Source organism: Homo sapiens, chromosome 12 (genome assembly GCF_000001405.40).
Source record: "Homo sapiens chromosome 12, GRCh38.p14 Primary Assembly".
NCBI classification, from domain to species: domain Eukaryota; kingdom Metazoa; phylum Chordata; class Mammalia; order Primates; family Hominidae; genus Homo; species Homo sapiens.
In genome coordinates, this window is record NC_000012.12 from 85,352,836 (window position 1) to 85,376,976 (window position 24,141).

General features: G+C 34.9%; 1 long non-coding RNA gene across 2 annotated transcripts in view; it reads left to right on the top strand.

Moving 5' to 3' along the window:
• Nucleotides 1-24,141, top strand: part of LINC02820 (long intergenic non-protein coding RNA 2820) — a 172,109-nt gene that overhangs the window by 34,817 nt on the left and 113,151 nt on the right. Inside the window, exons 3-4 of one of the 2 annotated variants that reach the window (NR_183553.1) lie at nucleotides 370-430; nucleotides 2,157-2,224. The exons of the other annotated variant lie outside the window; for it this stretch is intronic. This is a non-coding gene — a long non-coding RNA (long intergenic non-protein coding RNA 2820). The remainder of the gene's footprint in view (nucleotides 1-369; nucleotides 431-2,156; nucleotides 2,225-24,141) is intronic. 2 annotated transcript variants of the gene reach the window in all.

The window sequence follows — 24,141 nt, forward strand, 5'->3', positions numbered from 1 at the left end:
TCAAATTTTAGTTTCAGTGGACACATTTTTCCTCTTAGCTGTGGTACAATGTCCAGTAGTTTAATCACTCAGAGGTGAGTACATGTCTTCCAAAATGTACTCAGCACCTAAAGGCTTAGGATATGTTCTTCAAACTACTGCCATAGAACATCTCAGAAAACAGGACTGCCTGGGCAGCTCAGACTGACACACTTGCTTTCATCTGAAACCAGCTAATATTTCATTTTGCTTGCTCAATTATTCTGCTTTTATAGAACTCATGACACTCAGTGCAGTAAAATCATAATTAGAAGCTCTTATGTATAACATTGATTATTTCATGCCATGTCTTTATTGAAACAATAACATTTATTTGTTGTTTGTTATCAGGTGTCATTAGTTCCTTGCTAGAATTTCTTTGGTGTCCTTTCTGCATTTCAAACTCACAAAGGTAATCAGAATTGATATTGATGTTTAAGCTCACAGTATATACAGCACCAGTTTGCCTTTTTAAACTCATGTTCAGCATGTGATAAATAAGTCAATTACTATGTATCTCATGGGGAACTAGAAATAAAGAATGCTGCAATCTTCCAGATAACGAAGCCTCAAGATTAAAGACTTTTTAAATTCCGTGTAGCCTAGTGTCTAGTACAATGCAAACACAGAGTCATGCTTAATAAATGTTTATAGAATGGTTAATTGTTGAAGAAGAGGCTAGATAGTTGTCGAGAAATTATCACTTATAAGAAATGTGTCATCTTAAATCCACTAGCTTTCCATAATCTCAGGTGTTATTGCTATTCTCAGGTATTTACCTTCTGAAACTTATACTATTCCTACTCCCTACTGCACCCTACAATATGAATTTAGGGAATGCTTGTATTATTTAATTAATAGAAAGCCCCATTGTTCTATATGTTTCAGACTGAGTATAGACTATATTATCTAATTTGAAGCCTGACCAACCTGATAAAATCGCCAATTTATTCAAAATTACCCATAAGCCATTTTGCTTGAGCTCCTAATATAGGCAATAGATAGCATATGAAGATTTTTCTTTCTCAGATGGAAGAAAAATGAGTGCCTCGCATTTACATAGTATTTTGACATTCAACTCTGCAAAATGAACAAGGCAGATAAAATTCCATGAAATTGTATGAAAAATTGTTTTTGCAGGCGTGACTTTATCTGATAAGAGGTTCAATATCTTTTGATCAGATTCTCAAATGTTTTTCTGATACCTCCCTTTTCACCATATAAGATCTTTGATGTTGTAATTTTCTGAAGAAGCAGAGAAGCATAAGCACTTTTAGCGTAAGGTGCAAAGTGAGGACAGCTCCCATATTTAAGTGAGGGTAGCATGTGTTTTTAAAACGTGACATGATTTGGGATGTTTGGAGCACAGGGTACAACAGAGAATATCTGGAGATGAGGCTTCGAGGAAGCTGGGGAGATATTGTGAAAGGCCATGTGGTTTAGGCTGATGAATTTAAACTGTATCCTGTGACCAATAAGGGGACATTACAAATTTAAAAGCAAAGACTAACTGTGGGTTTATTTTTAAATGAAGATGAGAGTGGGAGGTGCCTTGGCATGGGCATGCTGGAAGCAGGGAACAATCAGTAAGACGGAGCTGTAATAGTTTAAGAGATGATGAGCAGGATGATGAGCAGTTTAACTAAAGGAGACTCATCTTATGTAAGAATAGCCAATAAAGTAAAAGGGAGAGTCCAGGGCTGATAATAATCCTTGGTAAGAACAAGAAAGCAAGCTGGCTCAGGAAAGACAGGAAGAAAACTTAGAGAAGTAGGGGAACTAGGTGAAAGAAATGTGATGAAATCTAAGGGAAGCGTTTTCACATTTTCTGACACACAGAAAACAATAAATGTTAAACAAATTACTGAATGTTCGCCTTAGGAGTATCAAATGTCTTAGAGAGGTCAGCTTGGTTAAGGAGTTACAATAACTAAAGGCAATTACAAGGTCACTGGTGACTTCTCTGAAAGCAAATACAACAGATTTGTGGGGGCAGAAGTCATATTTTAGAATAATGAAGAGTGAATTTGAGCTGAGGAAGCTTTTATGATGATTATGAACATCTCTTTTAAGAAGTTTGGCCAGAAAGAAAATAGTTTAATTCAGTATATATTTATTGATCATTCATTTTGTGGCAGGTTCTGTGAAAAGCAATATGTTCCCCAGTGGAGCTTAAAGTCTGGTGCAGAAAGCAGACATTTAACAGGTAAGCTGAGTGTTCAGAAAGGCTAAGCACAAGATGATATAGGCAATAAAGCTGACCTACTATAGATTAAGGCAGACCTTTCTAAAGCAGAGACAACTAAGGAATGTGGGAATTTGCCAGGCAAAGATTGGGAGGCGGGGGACATCAGAAAAATGAAAGAATATTACTGGCTACATAATTGAAACTTTATAACAGTCGAATTGGTCATAAAGTTGATAACACTGTATTGTGCACTTAAAATTTTGTTAAGACAGCAGATCTCACGTTAAGTCTTCTTACCAAGATAATAATAATAATAAAAGAATAAGAGCATTACTTGTTGAAGAATATGTAAAGAGATAGAAACATAAGACATTTCTCTAAAAATAACATTATAAGTCATTGGCTATGGAGATGTTTGGCATTGTTGCATAATGTCGAATTGTTTCTGAAGACCTTAGAGTTTTTGAAGATCTCAAAGAGTCAGGATTGTTGAAACATACAGAGAAACAGGATGATGGGTTATAAGAAGATATCAAAGAAAAAAGTGTTAGTTTGCATGTGTGTTTGTTAATTTGTGTGTTTTCAGCATAGGGAACATATTTCAGCATAGGGAACACATTTATGAAAGCACATGGAAGGAAACCAGTGGATGGAGAGATTTTGAAGATAAAAGTGAGAGACAGCATAATTAATGGCACAAGTTTCCAAAGGAGTGGGGAAAATGAGTTCAAGTTCATAACGGAGAGGGGAAAGAACTGAGAATAAAAACAGGGTCTTCTAGTTACACTGCCCAGTGTTTCTTCACACTTGCTAAAGCTGGTTAAGAAACAATAGCAGCACAATGTAAAAGTAAATGCATTATTCTTTTATGATTTGAAACAAATTATGTTTCTAATATAGTAGAAGGATGAGTGTTTTATTTTATTTTTTCATGTACCAATTCAAGTTAATGGAGAAAAGAGTCTGAAGACCATGAGCACAATGTAAACTCTCCTCTTGGAGCTATCCATTGAAAAATTCCTCTAAAAAATTCTTCTAGTCACCATTTTCCACAGGCATTAAGACGATTCAAGTGACTTTTATTAGTAAAAAACTATATTCTTCAAAAGAATATGTGTCTGGTTGAATATTTTTTCGTATATTATTGCTTTTATTATAACAATGGTTAAGGTGTCTTGATCATTACACTGAGTGTTGCCAGTACACAAGGACCAAGCTGGTAAATGTTAAACATTTAACATCCGAGATGTGTCCAGGAATAGCTATTCAACTCTGCTAGAATGACTGTGTCAATTAATCGACCACTCATGAGGAAGTGTGCATGATGGATTTTCAAATTTTTTTGGCAAAAAACTGTGTGTGTGTGTGTGTGTGTGTGTGTATACACATGCAAATATTTGTATTTGAAAGATAATATTTGTATTATCTTTCAAAACTATTTTTAAATTGTTTAAATGCTTAGACCCTTTGGAAAAGCTACCGTTACTGAAGCTAGAATATGAGTTTCAGGATTCTACCTTTTGCTCCAAGAGATAGCTTTAGAAGGGTCATTTAAAAAATGTGCTGATAGGTAAAAATCAGTCAAAGGAAGGATAAACGTTTCCAGGCTTTCTCTACTGTTTGTATCTAGGCTAGACAAGTCTATCTCGGCTTATTGTTATTCCAGTCTGACTAATTTTCTTTGTATTTAATGACTCTGTTAAATGTGTCTGCTTTATGTTTCACAAATACTTAATCATCTGCTTATTTCATCATAAAGGAACTTTTTGTTTACAGATTAAGTTTAATATATATGAGTTGCTTCTTTACTATTTAATATCCCTGGAGGATAATCTCATTGGAAAATACTTCCTGTTTTCCTTCCCCCACAGTCCATATTCATGCCTCATTTTTGTTGCTATCTGAGGTCAAAGCAGCCCAAATCCTGCCTTCACATTGGCTTTAGCTTTAGTTAAAAGCAGGCAGCTATATGTTTGGGAAGCCCTGTGTAATTTATATGGTGTGGGTAATATCTTGAACACTGCAGGAAAAAGGAAGTTTTCATGTAAAGGCTTGCTGGTCTTCCACTATAATATAACACCTTTATATCTCTTATGAGGTCATCAGAATCATATGTGCACTTATTCCTTTGGAAAAATGCAACCATGTGAGTAGCATATAAAACTCGACATGATTTTTCCATTGCTGCCAGCTCTAAGGTCACAAACAACTCTAACCTCAGCTGGAAAGATAATACTTTGTTTCTTATGGTCTTTTAAGAGTAAGAGTTTCCATTTTCTTTATAACTCAGTCCACATCAAAAAAGATTTGTGATTGCTATTTGTAAGAGAGTATTTTAGCTTCTGGCCAAAACTCCTGGTTTTTATACAGGTTAGGTTTCAGCATCTATTCTGCCATTTGCTCCCAGTGGGATACAAATAACCACAATACATATGAAATGGCATTTCTAAAGCTCAATTCTCCACTCCATATATATTCTTGAAAATAGTTATAGGAGAAAAATTGAAGTTATACAAAATACATCTGTCTGGATTTATAGTGGAATTTTGCAAAAAATCATCTTGTAAACTGAAAAGTTAAAACTGGCCTCCCCACACTAGCTGCTAATAACCTGCTTCATCTGTCTTATGTCTGAGAACTAAGCTTAACTCAGAGGTGGGGCAACCTTTCCAACTCAGAAGTCAACATGAGAAGAAACAGTGACAGTTGTAGGTAAGAGATGATTTATATACCTTTTGACTCCCTTTACCTTCCTCAGACACCATTGAAAATATTCCAATGACCTTTGTGCCTTATTTACGCACAGAGTAGTTTGACCACTTTTGCTTGCAGTACATTAGTAACTATATTGATTCTAGGAGCTCATTTAACAAGCTTTTTAATAGTAATGTGTATAAATAATTTCCAAAGTATGTTCTCAGTCATTGTCTCATTTAGCTACATCACATAACTGTAAATTAAACAGATTACATATGATTAACCCATTCTCTGGTTGAATAAACTGAGGCTGGAAGTATTTAAAATAACCTTCTTAAAGATGATTAATAAGTAGTAGAGTGAAATTCTAGACTTCTAACTCTTTACTAAGAACTCTTTTTACTATGTATCCTATATTTTGTTGAGAATGAAGCAATTGTTTCAATTCACATTAGAAATTTTACTCCGACGTTTAGTGTTTAATGTCTTTCCTTGTTAGAATCATACTTAGACAAATTCACTTTAACTTGTTCTCAACTACACAAAAGTTTCTTTATCTGTGTTAGTATAAATAAATTAACCTTCTTTACTTTATGCTGAAAGTTTAAAACTTCAAATGAATTATTCATTAAGTTTGTCTGTGTAGCCAGTGTACTAACAACAATAAAAATAAGCATCTGAATGAAATATTATTTTCAATCCAATTTTCTTATGTATGCCTTGAAGAAAGATCATCAGGAGCTGGCCCTGATGTTTTATATACTGGCAACATTTTGGTGATAGAAAAACTGTTACTGGTAACTCTTTTGCAAGAACTGTCAGCACTGCAGATAGTTTTTAACTAGTCTCCTTCCAACAGTAAGGGGCAAAAATTTCAGCATTCTGTGTGCCAAGCAAGTGAATATTCAGACTGAAGTTCTCACAAGTATACAATGGTAAAAATGAGCCAGAGATGTAATTTATATAGGACTTAGCAAATGTTTTATCAAGCTCCACTGATTTTTTTTTGTATGAGGTAAGGTAAAAACTATTTAATTTATTTCATTGAACAAAAGAGGCCACATAAAGCTGTTTGAAGCACAATTAAAATCAAAGAATAAGGAAGTCAGGCACACTGCAAATAAGTTTGCTGGGGTTCTGAAGTTTTCTTCCTTCGTTTCCTTTCCCCTCCCTCTTTCCCTCTCTTCCCTCCCTTCCTTCCTTCTGTCTTTCTCCTTTCCTTTCTTCTCTTCTTCCTTATTTTCTTTCCTCCTTCCCCCTCCCCTTCCCTTCTCTCCCTTTCTCTATCCCTCCCTGTCTCCCTCCCTCCCTCCCTCCCTCCCTCCCTCCCTCCCTTCCTTCCTTCCTTCCTTCCTTCCTTCCTTCCTTCCTTCCTTCCTTCCTTTCTTCCTTCTTTCCAAGCATGTTATATAAATAAGCAATTGCTCATATGCTTGAATGGCACCACAATAAGAAATCCTTTTTGGAAGTGTCTAAATGCTTACCCTTAATTTCTGACCTGTTCTCTTCAAAGATTTGTAACATGCAAATCATTGACCAGCACTGACCAAGACCCACTGTCAGTTCTTGTCTGGCCGTTACCAGTAGGTAACTTTTTTTTTTTTTAATCAGGCTTGCTGTCTGTTACGGCTCTCCTTTAGTAAAGTTTCCCAACAGCATATAAATGATATTTTTAAAAGATAATACCAAGAAATCCCTGGCTTAAAATCCTTCATGGGCTTCCCATCACACTTAATGGTAGTTCCACCTGGCTGACGTGGGGACCCTGTATAAACTGGCCCTGATAACCTCTCCTACTGAATTTCTTTGTTTCCCACATAATCACTGTCATTCTGTTTTTGGCTTTGCTTTATTTTAGAACTTCTTGTGTACTCTTTTCTCTTCCTAGAATGTATTTCCCCTGGCTCTCTACCTGAGACTCAGTTTTGTTCATCTTTAGACCAAGGATGGGCAAAGTTCATAAAAAGCATGACAGTAAATATTTTTACGCTTTTGGGTCATGCAGTCTTTGTCACAACTAGTCACCCAGCCATAGACAATACATAATGAATAAGCATGGCTGTTTTTCCACCAATCTTTATTTATGGACATTGAAGTTTGAATTTATATAATTTTCATGTATAAAAATATTCTTCTCCTCTTTAAACAATTAGATATAAAAAGACATTTTAGCTCAAGGGTGTATTTTGGAGATCTATTTGTCTAAATTTAGCTTAAAAGTCATTTCATACGGGATTTTTCTGACTTTATTATCTAATAAGTATATTTTGTATCTCAGCACTGTTATTTTATGTTACATTACCTTTTTGTTCTTTTGAGACTTGTTTGTTTTCGAATTGTTTGTTCATTTCATATTTTCATTCAATTACAACTTTTCTGATCTTAACTATTCCACTTATCTCTGTATATTCACCCTTAGGACAATGACTGGTACATAGTTGGTGTTCAGGATGTATTTGTTGACTAAATTAATTAATTTGGTGAACTTATTTTCCTACAACTCAAAGTGCTTTAAAAATGAGCTATGTCACCTAGAAAAACAACTTCAGTAAAGTTTCAGGATACAAATCAACATAAAAAAAGTAGCATTTATATACACTAATAACATTCAAGCTGTGAGCCAAATTGAGAATGCAATCCCATTTACAACACACACACACACACACACACACCCCTAGGAATACATCTAACCAAGAAGGTGAACGATCTCTACAAGGAGAACTACAAAACATTGAAGAAATAAATTATAGATGACACAAACAAATGGAAAAACATTTCATGCTCAGGGGCTGGAAGAATCAATATCATTAAAATGACCATACTGCTCAATGCAATCTACAGATTCAAGACTATTTCTATCATACTACCAATGTCATTTTTCACAGAATTAGAAATTCTATTCTCAAATTCATATGGAACGAAAATGAATCCAAATAGCCAAAGCAATCCAAACAAAAAGAACAAAGCTGGAGGCATCACATTACATGACTTCAAACTATACTACAAAGCTACAGTACCAGCATGGTACTGGTTCAAAAACAGACACATAGACCCATGGAACAGAATAGAGAAGCTAGAAATAAAGCTACACACCTATGACTGTCTGATCTTTGACACAGGCTTTAAAAAAATAAAGAAAGAAATAAGGAAATGACTCCCTATTCAATAAATGGTGCTGTGAAAACTGGCTAGCCATATGCAGAAAATGAAACTGGACCCCTACCTCTCACCATATTAAAAAATTAACTCAAGTAAGACCTCAAACTATAAACATTCTAGAAGAAAACCTAAAAAATATCCTTCTTGACTTCACTGTTGGTAAAAAGTTTATGACTAAGTCCTCAAAAGCAATTGCAACAAAAGTGAAAATTAACAGTGGGACCTAGTTAAACTAAAGAGCTTCTGCACAGTAAAAGAAACTATCAACAGAGCAAACAGCCTACAGAACGGGAGAAAATATTCACAAACTATGCAGCTGACAAAGGTCTAAAATCCAGACTCTATAAAGAACTTACAAAAATCAACAAGCAAAAAACCAAATAACCCCATTAGGAAGTGGGCAAAGAACATGAAAAGACACTTCTCAAAATAAGACATATAAGCGGCCAAAAAAATGAATGAAAACATGCTCATATCATTAATCAGAAAGAAATGCAAATCAAAATTGTGATATACCATCTCACACTAGTCAGAATGGCTTTTGTTAAAAAGTGAAAATTTAACAGGTGTTGGAGAGGCTGCAGAGACAAAGGAACACTTATACACTATTGGTGGGAATGTAAATTAGTTCAGCCAATGTGGAAAGCAGTTTGGAGATTTCTCAAAGAACTAAAAATAGAACTACTAGTTTACCCAGCAATCTAATTACTGGGTCTATACCTAAAGAAAAAAATTATGTTACCAAAAAGATATATATACCTGTATGTTTGTTGTAGCACTATTCATAATAGCAAAGACATGGACTCAACCTAGGTATCTGTCAATAGTGGCTTGTATAAAGAAAATGTGGTACGTATACACCATGGGATACTATGCAGTCATAAAAAAGAACAAAATCATTTCCTCTGCAGCAACATGGATGCAGTTGGAGGTCATTATCCTAATGGAATTAACACAGAAACAGAAAACCAAATATTGTATGTTTTCACTTATAAATGGGAGCTAAACATTGGGCACATATAGACATAAAGATGAAAACGATAGACACTGGGGACTACAAGAGGGAGGAGGAGAGAGTAGGACAAGGGTTGAACTACCCAGTGGGTACTATGCTCATTACCTGGGTGATGGGTTCAATTGTACCCTAAATCTCAGCATCATGCAATACAATCATGTAACAAACTTGCACGTGTTACACCTTGAATCTAAAATAATTTTAAAAAGACAGGAAAAATATTTGGAAAAATGCACGCCCAACTGCTTTACATGGTGGGCAGAATGAAAGCCATTTCACTTTCATGTAGAAATTTCAGAAGTGGTTAAACTAGTATAAACAGAACATATTAATTTTGTAATTTGGAAATTTTTCCATGGTAAACACTGTATTTTTTCTCTTAAAAAAAAAGAAAAAGCTATGTCAAACAGCTTGTTTTAGGAGGTTTAATACATTGTGAGAATACAACTTAACATAAGCATTCTATTATTTTTCTCATTGTGGTTTGTATTCAAACTAAATCTGAGAGAATATTTGCTCTCCTCATTCAATCTTCAACAGCCATAAACAGTGCAAACAAAAAAAATCTACACATTCACACTGTGTATCGCATTGTGTTTATAAAAAGATCATAAAAAGGCACAATGTGGCTGGGTACCGTGGCTCACGCCTGTAATCCCAGATCTTTGGGAAGCCCAGGCAGGCAGATCCCTTGAGGTCAGGAGTTCAAGACCAGCCTGGCCAACATGGTGAAACCACATCTCTACTAAAATTACAAAAACTAGTCAGGCATGGTGGCACATGTTTGTAATCCCAGCTACTTGGGAGGCTGAGGCAGGAGAATCAGTTGAACCTGGGAGGCGGAGGTTTCAGTGAGCTGACATCATACCACTGCACTCCAGCCTAGGCAACAGAGTGAGACTCAGTCAAAAAAATAAAATAAAATAAAGAAAGAAAGAAAAAGAGAGAGAGAGAGACAATGTAGTATTATCATAGTCTTAAGACTTTTACTTGACGTTGAAATTACAGTCATTTACACAAAAATGAATTCCTTTGGTATAATTTGTGAGTCTCATGAAATGTCTTTGTTGCATAAAGAATTGAAAGTAGCCATAAAGCTGTGCCAGTCATTGTTGGTGTCCATCAGTTCCCTCACTCTCCCCTTGCCTGTCTCAGTGGCAGAGCCCTGGTGTGATTATGTGCCTACGGAAGCTGACCCCACCTTGGCCCAGAGTGAATGTTGATTTGTTTTAGCCAATTGTGACAATTCCATCCCCCCATCTAAAGGAATCACCAGGTAGGAACCAATGACACCAAAAGTGGGTTGTTAGGGACTTTGGTGAAGGATCTTCTACTCTGTCAAAACAGACACAATAAGAAGTATGGCTCTTCCTCTTCCAGTCTTTGAACAAGGCCATGTGAAAACATAATGTAATATATCAGAGCAAAGATAAAAGAATAAAGATAGTGAATAATAAAACATGTATCTCTAAAAACTAAGAATTTAAACCCCAGCTTTCTGATTTAGGCCTTTCATTTCAATATAATACAGGAATTGCCTGTCTGAAACAATGCAAAGGTTATAGGGACAGTTGTGAAAGAAGCATAGACAGTGAACAAAATTGCATCAGTACAAAAATTTACCTGAAAAAAAACATAAATGATGTCATGAAAATGACAACTGATTCTCATGGTAAACACAAGATGGCCTCTTCTGTGATTGCTTATACTTCCAGGAAACGGCTATTCTTTTGTATATCCTCTGATTATTGCTGCCATCCCAATATCATGTAACTAATATACTAAAAATACATTTTGAATAATGAAAGAAACTCTTGCAAGTAACCTATTGTATGACACTTTTTTATATCAAAATATCAAAATAAAAGCTAATGCTAAAAATCAAAAGCTCCTTCTTTTCTGAGAATGAGTAACTAGCTAGATTAGCAGCCAACCCAGATGCAAGGCCAATTGATGGGTCAGGAAGCAAGTTCAACAATCCAGGAACATGATGTTGATTTTGGCCATTCGCTAAAGAATGTTTTTCTGAATATTCAGGGTGGTGCTGACTTCAGTTTTTCTTTCTGCTAGAATGATGCGTAAAATGAAATCTTCTACAAATCTCCTTCCTACAAGTGTTTATTCTCTGATTAAATTTTAAAAGGAAGTTTTTTTTGTTTTTTTTTTAAGTCACGAATTTTCCTAGATACTTAATCTGATCCATTTCTTTAAAAACCCGTGGTCTGTTCTCAAAGAGATAAGGAAACAGGATGGTTGTCTAGGCCCCAACTTTTTAGGCAAATTATTACTAAGGGCAGGTTTTTTGTTTCCCTGGTCCTATAGAATCAATGTCAGTTCACTCTTCTCTGAATTTTAGATCCGCATCAAATCTCTAACTATATGCTAATGCTGAGTGCCATAGTTTTATAAACAGTGATATTTCTTACTGTTTGATGTCAGTTGATTTCTATGCTTTTTTTTATTTCTATGCTCTTTACTTTTGTGTTCCACAATTTGTTTTTGTGGTTTATATGTAGTTTATGCTGTATACTTTAAATATTCAATTAGATATAAGTTGAATCATTGTAGATTAAAACTATATGTCAACCTAGGAATGTCACTTAATTCTTTAATAATTTTGATTATGCACACACAAGAATGTTTAATAAAATTTCCAAGGAAAAGTCTATATCATCACAAATGCATATTTATGCTACCAACATACTTGATTACATCCTAAAATGATTGATAAACAGGTGAAAATACGTATTTAAAATTAAAACCTGTATACATTATATGAAACTGGTGTGCTGATTGAGACTCAGCCACAAGTGCAGGCAAACATTTCCAAACCAAGCTATACATGTTGGACCACAATGAATAATCTCATGCTGGGCTAATTTCATTTTTTCCTCATAGAAGTTAAAGAAAAAAAAAACATCAGTGTGGCTAACAATGAAATAAGATTAGAGCTATGGAAATGCTAGAATCAAATATACTAATAACCCAATTAAATATAAAGATACTATTTAATTTCACAACTTTTAAAAAATCTCTTATATACTTACAACTTTAGGCTTTATTTCTCTGAAAAATATTTAATTTCTATAATAAAGATAAATTATTTTTCAATATAGCTAAATGATAAAGTTATGCCAACATAACATTGCATGTTTAGAAAATATAGAAAGATTGTTATAGATATGTTTAGCAAAAATTCTTCTTTCCAGTAACCTCAGATGAATTTTTACTTGCAGTTAGAGTCTTTGTTTTCTTCTTATAGTTAAAGAAAAAGTTAACAAATCAATAGATCTTTAAATTTAAAACGATGTCATGAATCATTGTTAAACCCTAGGTTACTATGGCTATTGCAGAAAGGTAAAATTATATGATGCTGTTTTATTTTTAAAAAAAAATCAATAAAAGCAATTTTACTTGAGCTGTGATTTCAAAATTATAACCTACTGGTTTAAATTCACTGTATAACTGATTAAGTGGTAAGCAGAATATGATCATTAGGATAGCTTTAACAGAACAAGCTGTTAAAGGAAAGGGAATTTATGTATCAGACATAGTCTCTGTATATTTGGTTTTCTGTATTCAAAAAGCATATGTAGTAATATTTTTAAAAACTGTACCACAGTCCACTTTGTGTAATATTATTTTCTAGGATAACAGACTATAATACTCTGTGTGTGTAGAATTGGTCCTGATAGTAATGGCTATCACATACTGAGTAATCACTATGGGCCCGATACAGTGCCCAGCTGAAATGGTTTGGCTCTGTGTCTCCACTCGTCTCACTTTGAATTGTAATAATCTCCACCTGTTAAGGGCAGGGCCAGGTGGAGGTAATTGAATCATTGGGTCAGTTTCCCCCATAGCGTTCTCATGGTAGTGAGTAAGTCTCGCGAGATCTGATGGTTTGATAAGGGGAAACCAGTTTCACCTGTCTTTCATTCTCTCTTTTCCTGCCGCCATTGTTGTGAGATGTGACTTGCTCCTTCTTGCTTTCCACCGTGATTCTGAGGCCTCCCCAGTCATGTGGAACTGTGAGTCCAATTAAACCTCTTTCTTTTGTAAATTGCCGAGTCTCGGTTATGTCTTTATAAGCAGCGTGAAAGCAGACTAATACCCCAACACTTAATACAGATCTCTCATTTCATCATGCAACAATCCCTTAAAGGTAGATACTTTTTTCTCCCTATTTTAAAGATGTGGAAACTGAGGCTTAGAGTGATTAAGCAGCTTGGTCAGGGCCCAATCGTTTACCAGTATTTGTAACCCGACTTGAATTTAAGAAATCCAACCCCAGAGTGTAGTTTTGCGTTTGTTTTATAAAAAGGAAGCTTGACTCAGTTTTGAAGCCTTGACTACTAGAGGCTGGTCAGTTCCCCTTCGTTTTTTTTTTTTTTTTTTTTTTTTGAGATGGAGTTTCACTCTTGTCGCCCAGGCTGGAGTGCAATGGCCTATCTCCGTTCACTGCGACCTCTACCTCCTGGGTTCAAGCGATTGCCTCAGCCTCCCGAGTAGCTGGGATTACAGGCGCCCACCACCACATCCAGCTAATTTTTGTATTTTTAGTAGAGACAGGGTTTCACCATGTTGGCCAGGCTGCTCTCGAATTCCTGACTTCAGGTGATCTGCCCGCCTCGGCCTCCCAAAGTGCTGGTATTACAGGCGTGAGCCACTGTGCCCAGCCACTTTCCCTTCTTGAAAAGCTAGTTAAGTCCATACTCCATCCATTTTCCTTTTTGAATCTTATACTCTGATCCTCTATGTACCAGCCTTTATCATCCCAAGACCATATATCAGACAACTAGGGATAATCCTTTTTCCCCGAAGCACAGGATACTATTCAAATTACCCAATCCAGAGAAATTTAGGAAACCTAGCTATCCCCCGCTACTTGCCATACATTAGTTTCTCCCTACAGCTTCAACTTGCTGTTACCCTTTCCCAGGGTGCAACAACTGTTGGCCCTGCCTAGCAGTTTGGAGCTGTTAAGTAACTAGTTTGGAGCTGTTAAGTAACAAAGATTTCTGTCCTTCATCTATCCTAGTGTCATTGTGTTATATCTCATCATCAAAATAATCTTTAAATCTTATAAAACACAGAATCCATGCCCTCAATCCCAGCATTTCCTCCCACTTATAGTGAAGGTGTTTTGTTTTGTTTTGTTTGTTTTTTTGAGACAGAGTCTCGCTCTGTTGCCCAGGCTGGAGTGCAGTGGTGCAGTCTCGGCTCACTGCAACCTCCACCTCCCAGGTTCAAGAGATTATCTCGCTCAGCCTCCTAAATATCTGTGATTACAGGTGCCCACCACCATGCCCAGCTAATTTTTGTATTTTTAGTAGAGACATGTTTCACCATGTTGGTTAGGCTGGTCTTGAACTCCTGACTTTAAGTGATCCGAACACATCTGCCTCCAAAAGTGCTGGGATTACAGGCGTTAGCCACTGCACCCAGCCAAAGATGATAAATTATAGACCACTTAACTCTCTTTACCATGTACATTTAATTGGTCTGAAGTCATATTAACTGGAATTGGTTACAAGAACTTAAGCATTTCTTTCCACATGTTATGATAAAGGTCATATTTAAGGTAAAATTGAATTGAATAGGGCAAAGGAGATTATACAGTTTTTAAAAATAGGCTTTAAAATTATGCTTTCTGGTTGGTTTATAAATAAATAGTCAAGAAAATTTATCAGAAAGGAAAAGAATTATTGTGTTAGTCAATACAATGAAAATATAGAATAACTCAAATGAATAATAACTTTAAATAAGGCCCCTTGTACTTGAATACTTCAAAGATGAAAGCATTAGTGAAAAAGCCCCCCCCGCCCCCCACCACCCCGCTGATGTCAGAAAGAAGTCATTGCAATGTGTAAACTGCTATGAATTACTTTAATAGTGTAATGCAGGGTTTGGAAAACTTGTAGAGAGTCAAATAGTAAATACTTTAAGGCTGTGGAGACCATAAGGTCTCTATCTTAACTACTCAGCTCTGCCTTTGTAATGTGAAAACAGCCATGGGCAGTGGTTAAGTGAATGGGTGTGTCTGTTTGCAAATAAAGCTTTATTTATATAAACAGGCAGCAGGTTGGATTTGGCCCCACGGGTCATAGTTTGCTGACCCCTGTTCTAATAGTCTAAATTATAGTTATGGCTTCCTTCTCATCCATGAGTGACACACTTTTATAGAAGGGACTTCCCTTTTTAGGAAATATGAGAGTCGCATTCCAGGGATAAAGTAACTCTAGAGTGATCCAGCCAAAGGCATTTTGTTTGAAACAATGTTATGATCATAATTCAACTGACCTTTTTAGGACAGTTGGGATAGGTCACATAAATAAAGACTGCTTTGTTGTGATACTACCAGTTTCAGCTTCACAAAACTCCTGATTTTTATAAGGTTTATCATCTGCTGCTCTGCATTTTGTATTTGTTAATTTCCAAAAAAAACTTGTACCTAGTAAACTATTCATCTCTCATATGAAGTGATTTATCAGTTGAGACTAGAAATGAATAACACCCTTTTATGACATATAAATAATAATCATAGTACAGGTTGAATATCCCTTATCTGAAATACTTGGGACCAGAAGTGTTTCAGATTTCAGATTTTTTTTTTCTTGGACTTTTGAATATTTGCAAAGAGATATCCTAGGGAATAGACCCAAGTATAAACATGAAATTTATTTATGATCCATATATACCTTATACAAATAGCCTGAAGGTAATTTAATACAATATTTTAAATATTTTAGTGCATGAAACAAAGTTTTTGTTAAGTACTTACATGTGGAATTTTCCACTTAGGGCATCATGACAGTGCTCAAAAGGGATTTCAGGCCAGGCGCTGTGGCTCACGCCTGTAATGCCAGCACTTTGGGAGGCCGAGGCGGGTGGATCACAAGGTCAGAAGTTTGATACCAGCCTGACCAATATGGTGAAACCCCGTCTCTGCTAAAAATATGAAAATTAGCTGGACATGGTGGTGGGCAACTGTAGTCTCAGCTACTTGGGAGGCTGAGGCTGGGAATCGCTTGAACCTGGGAGGCGGAGGTTACAGTGAGCTGAGATTGCGCCACTGCACTCCAGCCTAGGTGATACAGCAAGACTCCATCTCAAAAAAAAAAAAAAAAAAAGGATTTCAGATTTTCAAATTAGAGGTGATCAAGCTGTAATAATAACTACAATAAGAGATGCTAGATATTGAATATTTACTGTGCGAAATCCTGCTTTCTCTTCAAGACCCATTTTGTCTAGGAAGCCTTCTCTGACTCCATGGACTAAGTGTTGCATCCTTTTATTCCCCACCCCTTATAGCTCTCTGGTTTTCTTTGTATCACAGCACTTGTCACACTCCAAGAGTCTTACTATCATTTCCCTCCTCAACTGGTAATAAGTGCCTGGGGGGGTCAGGAATGATGATTTATTTATCCTTGCATCCCTAGGGAATAGCACAGTGCCTGGCTCCTAACAGGCTATCATGCTATAAATGCTTACAAAAGAAATGAATGAACGATACCTGGAGCCATAGTGGAGCTGGCTAGCCTCCTGAGGCCTATAGGAACTGAAAGGAAAAGCTGAGTCCTGGCATAATATCAAGGTTTGGATGAAAGGCCCATCACTCTGAATCATTCTAGCACAAATTATAGGCTTTAAAAATGGTTTGTGAATGTTAACGGTTTTGAGTTTACTGCACTGTAAGATATCTTAAATTTCGCTCCCTTCCCTGGGCCCCTACTCTTTCTGATTGTATGTTGGTTTGTTCACTCAAGTGAGGAAGAAAGGCAGTTTGAAAATAAACCACAAATACAGATTGTTTTCCTTGTCTGATTCCCCCTTTGTTTTTGTTTATCACAGAACCAGAACTAAGATGCCTTTAGAGATGTGTGCAGATAAGCTACCAGAAATGAAATTTCAGTTCAAGTTTGGCACTAAGTAAGCCACTCTCCCAAAAGTTTTTTACAATGTGCTGACTGTAATACTTTGACCATAAACCACTGGTAATAACAAGAAGTTAGGCCCTGGTTACAAACATATTACTGCATTGCCAAGCCCTTCAGTGGAATTCAACTACTACATATTTTTAGGTTAAAGAGAACTATATCTTCTGTGTTTCAGCCAAATTTGACTTTGGTTTCAAATTACCTCTGAGGAGAATTTTTAGCTGATAATTTATCGTATATGATTTGTCTCACATAGAGATATATTTATAGCACATTTGGTAAATAAATATCTTTTCTATTAAAAAGGCCAAAGCACATCCAGTGATAACTTCTTAACTTAAGCACATCCAGTGATACTTCTTAACTAAAGGTTGCCTGTGGAAAATATTGGTTCTTCTGGGGACTAAAAAGGGAAGTAGATAGAAATTCTGATATCTTAGGTCATTGGAAATAGGGAAGTGGGAGTGAGTAAATGTAGGGATTTCAGAAAAAAGAAAAAAAAAGACTATATATGTATATCTCTCTCTCTCTCTCTCACAGTACCTGGCTCCTAACAGGCTCTCATGCTATATATATATATATATATTTACATATATATATATATTTACATATATATACACACACACACACACATACACACACGTTTTACATATATACATATATATTATGTATATGCATATATATTATGTATATGTGTATATATATTACATATATACATGTATATATATTTGACATATATACATGTATATATTTGACATATATATATATACATGTATATATATTTGACATATATATATATGTAAAAAAAAAAAAAAAGGGACTCTGAGGTCTCCAGAGAAATATCTGGAAAAGTCTGAGGCTTCATTCTAGGGAGTATTCCTGCTAGGTCGGCACGAAAGCCTCTAATTCTGACTGGGCTTACTTGGTTATATTTACAGATATCACACATATGTGTCTTCAACACTTGTCATTTTTCATTTCCCCTTGGTTGATCTTTCCTCATTCCTTTTCTCTTGAAAGATAAAGTAGTGAAAACATTTGGATGAAAAGGGAAATCCCAGAATTTTTCTTCTAAACTCAATTGGATAAGATAACGTAAAGTAAATCTACATTTCTCTACTAACTTGCAATCTACAGCGCTGGTTAATAGAGCATACAGGGACTATCAATACCTTAAGAAACACTAAAATAAGAAACAAAAAAATGTTTAGGAAAGCAGTTTGTGCAAGGAGAGACTTCTCTAATTATTTACTTATTCCACAAATATTTACTGATTGCTGGCTATATGAATGAACATAGGTGAAAAGTAATTTTAAGAAGTTATTGTAATTCATATTTCCTTTGCTAGAGCAGCTTAATCTGTAGTAAAAATTTTCAATTTGACATTTTAAAATTATGGGTTCTCTGAGAAATTTTAACTCTCAAATTCCAACATAGGTCTTATTTGTGATAAACCTGAGCACTGACCTTTGTAAGTTTTACTTACTTGGTTATTATTGTAATTGATCTTAAGGCAGTTTTTCATATTCTTTGAGCTCTCTTCCAAATCATTCCTGACACATAATTCTACCAACTGCTAAACCTAATCTTCCATAATAATTTGTGTTTACATGTTCTAATCTTACTGTCAATTTAAGAGGTATTAATGAGTAATACTGAATATATTCTCAGAAAAAAATGGTTGTTTTATTTACCTAAATAAAACACTTAGGTTTTAATAAGACTGTTAGAATGCTTATGCATAGTTCTATGATATATGAAGTTGAAGATTTTTCCTTTTAATTTAAAAAAGTTCTCTTGCATTTAAGGAATGAAAGCCATTCTAACTTGAGTTCATGGTTTATTATATTAAGGAGGCTTAAGCTACAGACTTTGGTGTCATACCAATTGTAATGGTTACTGCTTATTCCTGTTTTTAACAGGAAGCTTTTAATGGAAACAGAACACACAAACAAGTGCACAGAACAAAAATATCTGCTTCTTTTCACTAATTAGCATAGTCATATACAGTCATGGACTACATTTATAAATGTAAGGTGAAATCACCTTTTCAAAAACCTGAAAGTTTTAAGTTTTGGATTCATTCATCTGGTTGTCTTTCTTTGGGAGCAAAGCTAGGAAAAAAAAATACGAGTTTCTCTAAGTTTAAGTCAATTTTTCTGGAGCATTTAATAGCACACTTGCACTACGCATTATGAAGAAACATAAGCTCTACACATTGACATATTTACATTTAACCTTGCTTAACCTTATCCTTGTAGTTTTTTTTAAGGAAAATAATACCAGTCTCTCTGAGCATTGTTCTTCCTTAAGCTTTTGTCAGATCTTCGTAGAGGATAATCACTGTGGCAAAAAATTCAAGAAACTAAAGGTAATGGGTAATGTTGATTCAACATTTTACACAGTTCTTGGAAATAGACATGCCATTTGAAAGCAATCTTTTCATTAGCAAGTCATTTTTGCCTACTATATACAAGGATAATAATGAAAGAATTGCAACATATTCAGTAATATATTCAGTCATACACAGTCAGATATGCCAATTCATTTATAAATCTATACATGAATATTTAATGTAGTTGACTCAGGTATATAGAGTTTTTAGATGCAAGTTTAAATTATTTAGACTACAAAATTTAGAAGGATACAGTGTAGTGTAGTCAAAAGAACACTGAACTTTGAATCAAGATGTGTTCTGTTTTATTTTTCACGGGGGTTTGGTGTACAGATTATTTGATCACCCAGGTAATAAGCATATTATCTGATAGGTAGTTTCTCAATACGCATCCTCCCCTTACCCTCCACCCTCAAGTAAGTCCTGGTGTCTATTGTTCCTTTCTTTGTGTCCATGTCTACTCAATATTTAGTTCCCACTTATAAGTAAGAACTTGTGGTATTTGATTTCCTGCTTCTGCATTAGTTTGCTCAGAATAAGGGCCTCCAGCTCCTTCCATGTTGCTGCAAAGGACATGATCTCATTCTTTTTTATGGCTATGTAGTATTCTACGGTGTATATGTACACATTTTCTTCATCCAGTCTACTGTCAATGGGCATTTATGTTGATTCCAAGGAAGACGTGTTGTGATTTATATTCTAAGACTACTAGCAGCATGATTTTAGGCTATTTTAGTGCCAAAGGCCTTGATTTCCTTATCTGTTAAATTTCCACACATTTTTAACATTCAGTGATTCCTTATGGCTGAGAGGCTAAATAGATACTAATAATTTGATTTGAATGAATTCAGTGTTTTTAATGGTTACCTAACTGGCTTGCTTAAACTTATCCTCGTATTTTTTTTTTTGAGTTCAACTTTTGGTTTTGTTTTGTTTGTTTCATTTTTCATAGTATCATCTCTTCCGATTGTTAGTGGTTTTCTATAATTTGATATAGATTCTTGATTACGTAACATTTTGATTTAGGAGAGGTATAAAGTACTGATAGATGTAGCAAAGATGATCATAAAAACAAATATTCTATGATCATCTTTGTGTACTTACGGTAGTGATTAAAAAGGTAGTTTAACTTGCAGCATCTATTTTATAAATAGATTTTATTTTTTAGAGAGGTGTTAGGGTCATAGCAAAATTGAGGGGAAAGTGAAATAAAATTGAGAAGAAGGTACAGAGACTTTTCATATATCTCATTTTTATATCCATATTATATGTAAAATAATTAGCTTGAAATCTGTGCCATTTTAAGCATCACTTGTTGATTCAGATAATTATGACTACTATTCATACAATTAAAATCTGAATTTTCTCCGCATCTTTTTCCGAAACTGTACTTATTAAGCTTGTGAAATATTACATTGAGTCATCACTTGTTATCCCTTATTTTCCTTGACCTTTGCTTAATATTTACACTCTCCTAAACACCCCTCCCCATGAACATTTGAAATCTTCTTTCCTCTGGCCATTTGGATTCATAATTCTTTGTTGGCTCACTGCCTACATACTCAATATTGACATACTCCATAGTTCCATTCTAGGATCTCTTCTGACTCCACTCATTGCTAGGTGAGTTTATGACTTCAATAAAATGCCCTCCAAATGTATACCTCTAATTTTCAACTCTATCCCAGATCCAGATTCATGTTTCTAATAGCAGCCCATTCCATTTAGATCTCCTGCAAGACCCTCAAAATCAACACTAACAGAAGTAATATTTAGTAATCTCTCTCTTCAATAATGTTTCTTCTCCTCTAATGTTTATTCTTAGTACTGGCAAGTCATCTATGCAGTGATCTAAGAGAGAAATCTGAGACTCATAAAATTCTTTATTTCTCATGGCTTCCTAGTTATAGAAACAGGCTCTAGCATCCATGTTTGAGTGTGAATTTCAGCTCTATGGGTCTTGTACTTCCTACTGTTGTGACCTTGGAAAATATGGTTGACTGCCCATTGCCTTAGTATCCTTATCTGTAACATGGCGATAATAGTAGAATGAACCACTTGGGGTTATTCTGAGAATTACATTTATTAAATAAGCATGAAGTTTTTAGAATGTTATCTAGCAAAGAGTGAGCACTCAGTAAGTGTTAGCTATTATTGTTATCATCATCATCATAATTATAATTTTCAAGTGATGCTTTTGACTCACTGTTATTGCCTTTTTCTGGGACTTTGTGGTCTCAGTCTTAGACTGTTGAGTTCTAGATTCTTCAAAATTATCTTGCCTTCAGTCATTCCCCTTCTTAATTTATGCTTTTCTCTGTTAATTGAGTGATCCTACACACTTTTAATAAAATTTGCCATATAATCTGCTTATATTATTTGCATATTCCTCTACTTGACTGATATTTATAAGAAGGATAATGTCTTATATATCTTTTTATTGCTAACCCTTGGCATAGAGCTAAAACTTAAGTTTTTGTTAAACAACATAATAAATGAAAGTTTATTTAGAACTAAGTTGTAATTCAAGGCTTAAGATTTTTATGGTTATCAAATTATATTTACTAAATAGAGTGCTGAACAGACCAAAAATGTAAATGGTACTAATATTTGGTATGCATTTAAAACATATAATTTATAATACATTCATGAGTGGAGGTGAGCTGTAATTTCCAAAATAATGTCTGTTAAGTTTGAACTCCATAGTCCATTTAGAGGAATCTTACACAGATTGTTGCAGGAAGTTTTTAGGCCTAATCAAACACTTTCTGTCTAAATACACCCCCTCTGGTTAATCTTTAACCATTGCACGAAAGCAATTAGAAGCCACTTTTTAATGTTTTCTTAAAGAATTAAGAATCCATGATAGGCCCTCTCTAACTAATCCTGCTAGGAAATCTAAGAACTTTAGTGATTGTTGAGCCCAGCATTAGGAGACAAGTATTTGACACCTTCCTTTTCTCCAGAGTACCCAGGACAACACAGCAGGCTCTCCTGTTAGATAAGGTGTATGTTAAAACTGCCAATTCATGTTTTATTCTGGCTGGTTGGCTTATAATGGGTAATCTTTTGAGAAAACAAAAATGGTAGAATATTTGGAGCCATGAAAAGACAAAATAATTTCTTCTGAGTTTCTTCTTTGAATATGTTTTGGCTGTGCCAAAGGATTCATTAATTCAGTCAGTATAAGCATCAACTCCAAATCATTCTGGGAAAAAGTTGTCTGTTTATTCAATCATAATTTACTTCACTTCAAATTTGGACATGACCACAGAATTATACTCAGAGCAACAATCCAGGACGTTGATTAAATGATGGGTTTTATTGAGTTTGAAAATTAATTAGAACTTTCCAAACATAGAATTATACTTTTCTTCTGTGGTGAATTATTGCCATAGATTGAAACATCAATTATACATGGATTTAGATGCCAAGAACATTTACTTCCAAATGAATAAGGATTTATGCATAGCGATCATAACTGTAAATATGAATTTGAGATTATCATAATATTCATTCTGTATATTACTTAAATGAGAAATAATTATTGTCTTCTGAAATCATTTAAATTTTGTTATTCATTTTCTATATTAGAATTTTAGTTTGATCCTGTTTATACTTTGGTTTTTACTAAATTATACGCTGCTTCTTTGAGAAACTGTCTGTGATATTGTCTTTGTATTATCTTTCCGTGATGCTTTTAACATACTAGATATTTAAAAAATAACCCAAACTTCCATTTAGGTATATAAATAGTAAATTTATAAATTTATATTACTATTTATATATCTAAATTTACTCTTTATATACCTTTAATCCTTAAAGCAACCTTATAAGTATTTTAATGTATATTTTATAAATAAAAAAGCAGAGGGTCAGAAAATTTGAAGAGCTCCTCATCCAGTTTCACCAGGATAGGAAATGAAGAGGTTATGTTTACACCCAGATCTTTTTTCACTATGTCACACTGCATTACATATTGATTATTAGTAAAGGTAGACATTTAAAAAATACTATATAGGTTCTAGGAAAATCTTTGGTTAAAATATATTCAACCAAATAATTGAGAAAAAAAATTCCCTGGGTGCTATGACTTAAGTTTTCTCTACTATAAGGTTACCTGTCACCTCAGTGGATGAGTGTAAGGGATGATTCTGTCCTAAACATGGCTGAGCTCAGAAACTAATGTAGGCCAGATATTCCAATTAATGTTGAAGTGCTCATGAAACCGTTAGGTCTGATTTGGTGAATTCAACTAAGAGTTCTAGTCTTGTACATGGTGAAAAAAACAGTAGGAGATGTGTCAGTAGAAGTATTCTTTCAGGCAGGCTGCTGCTCGTAGTTCCTTGTGGGTTAATAAGGATCATACTCAGCATCTGGGATTCAGGGACAGTATCTGTCTCCCAAATCTCCAAAGCTCACCTCAATGAGAAGAATGCAGATAGGGCTAGGTAAGGGTAAGGAACTAGCCAACTTGGTTTAGGTTCATGTTAGGGCCCCATTCCAGTGGAGACAGTGAACTGCAAATCAGTACATCCCACTTAGGAACTTTCACAGCACACAGTCACATACACTAAGATCTGTGCACGAATAACCAAGCTGCTTATTGTGATTAGTTCAAAGATGTGCCCATATATCAAGCCAGAATACTGAGAATCCCTTCTAGGATTCTTTCTTTAAATCATAGAAAGAGAAATTATGCAGTTGTTAGCTACAGTAATGTACACTA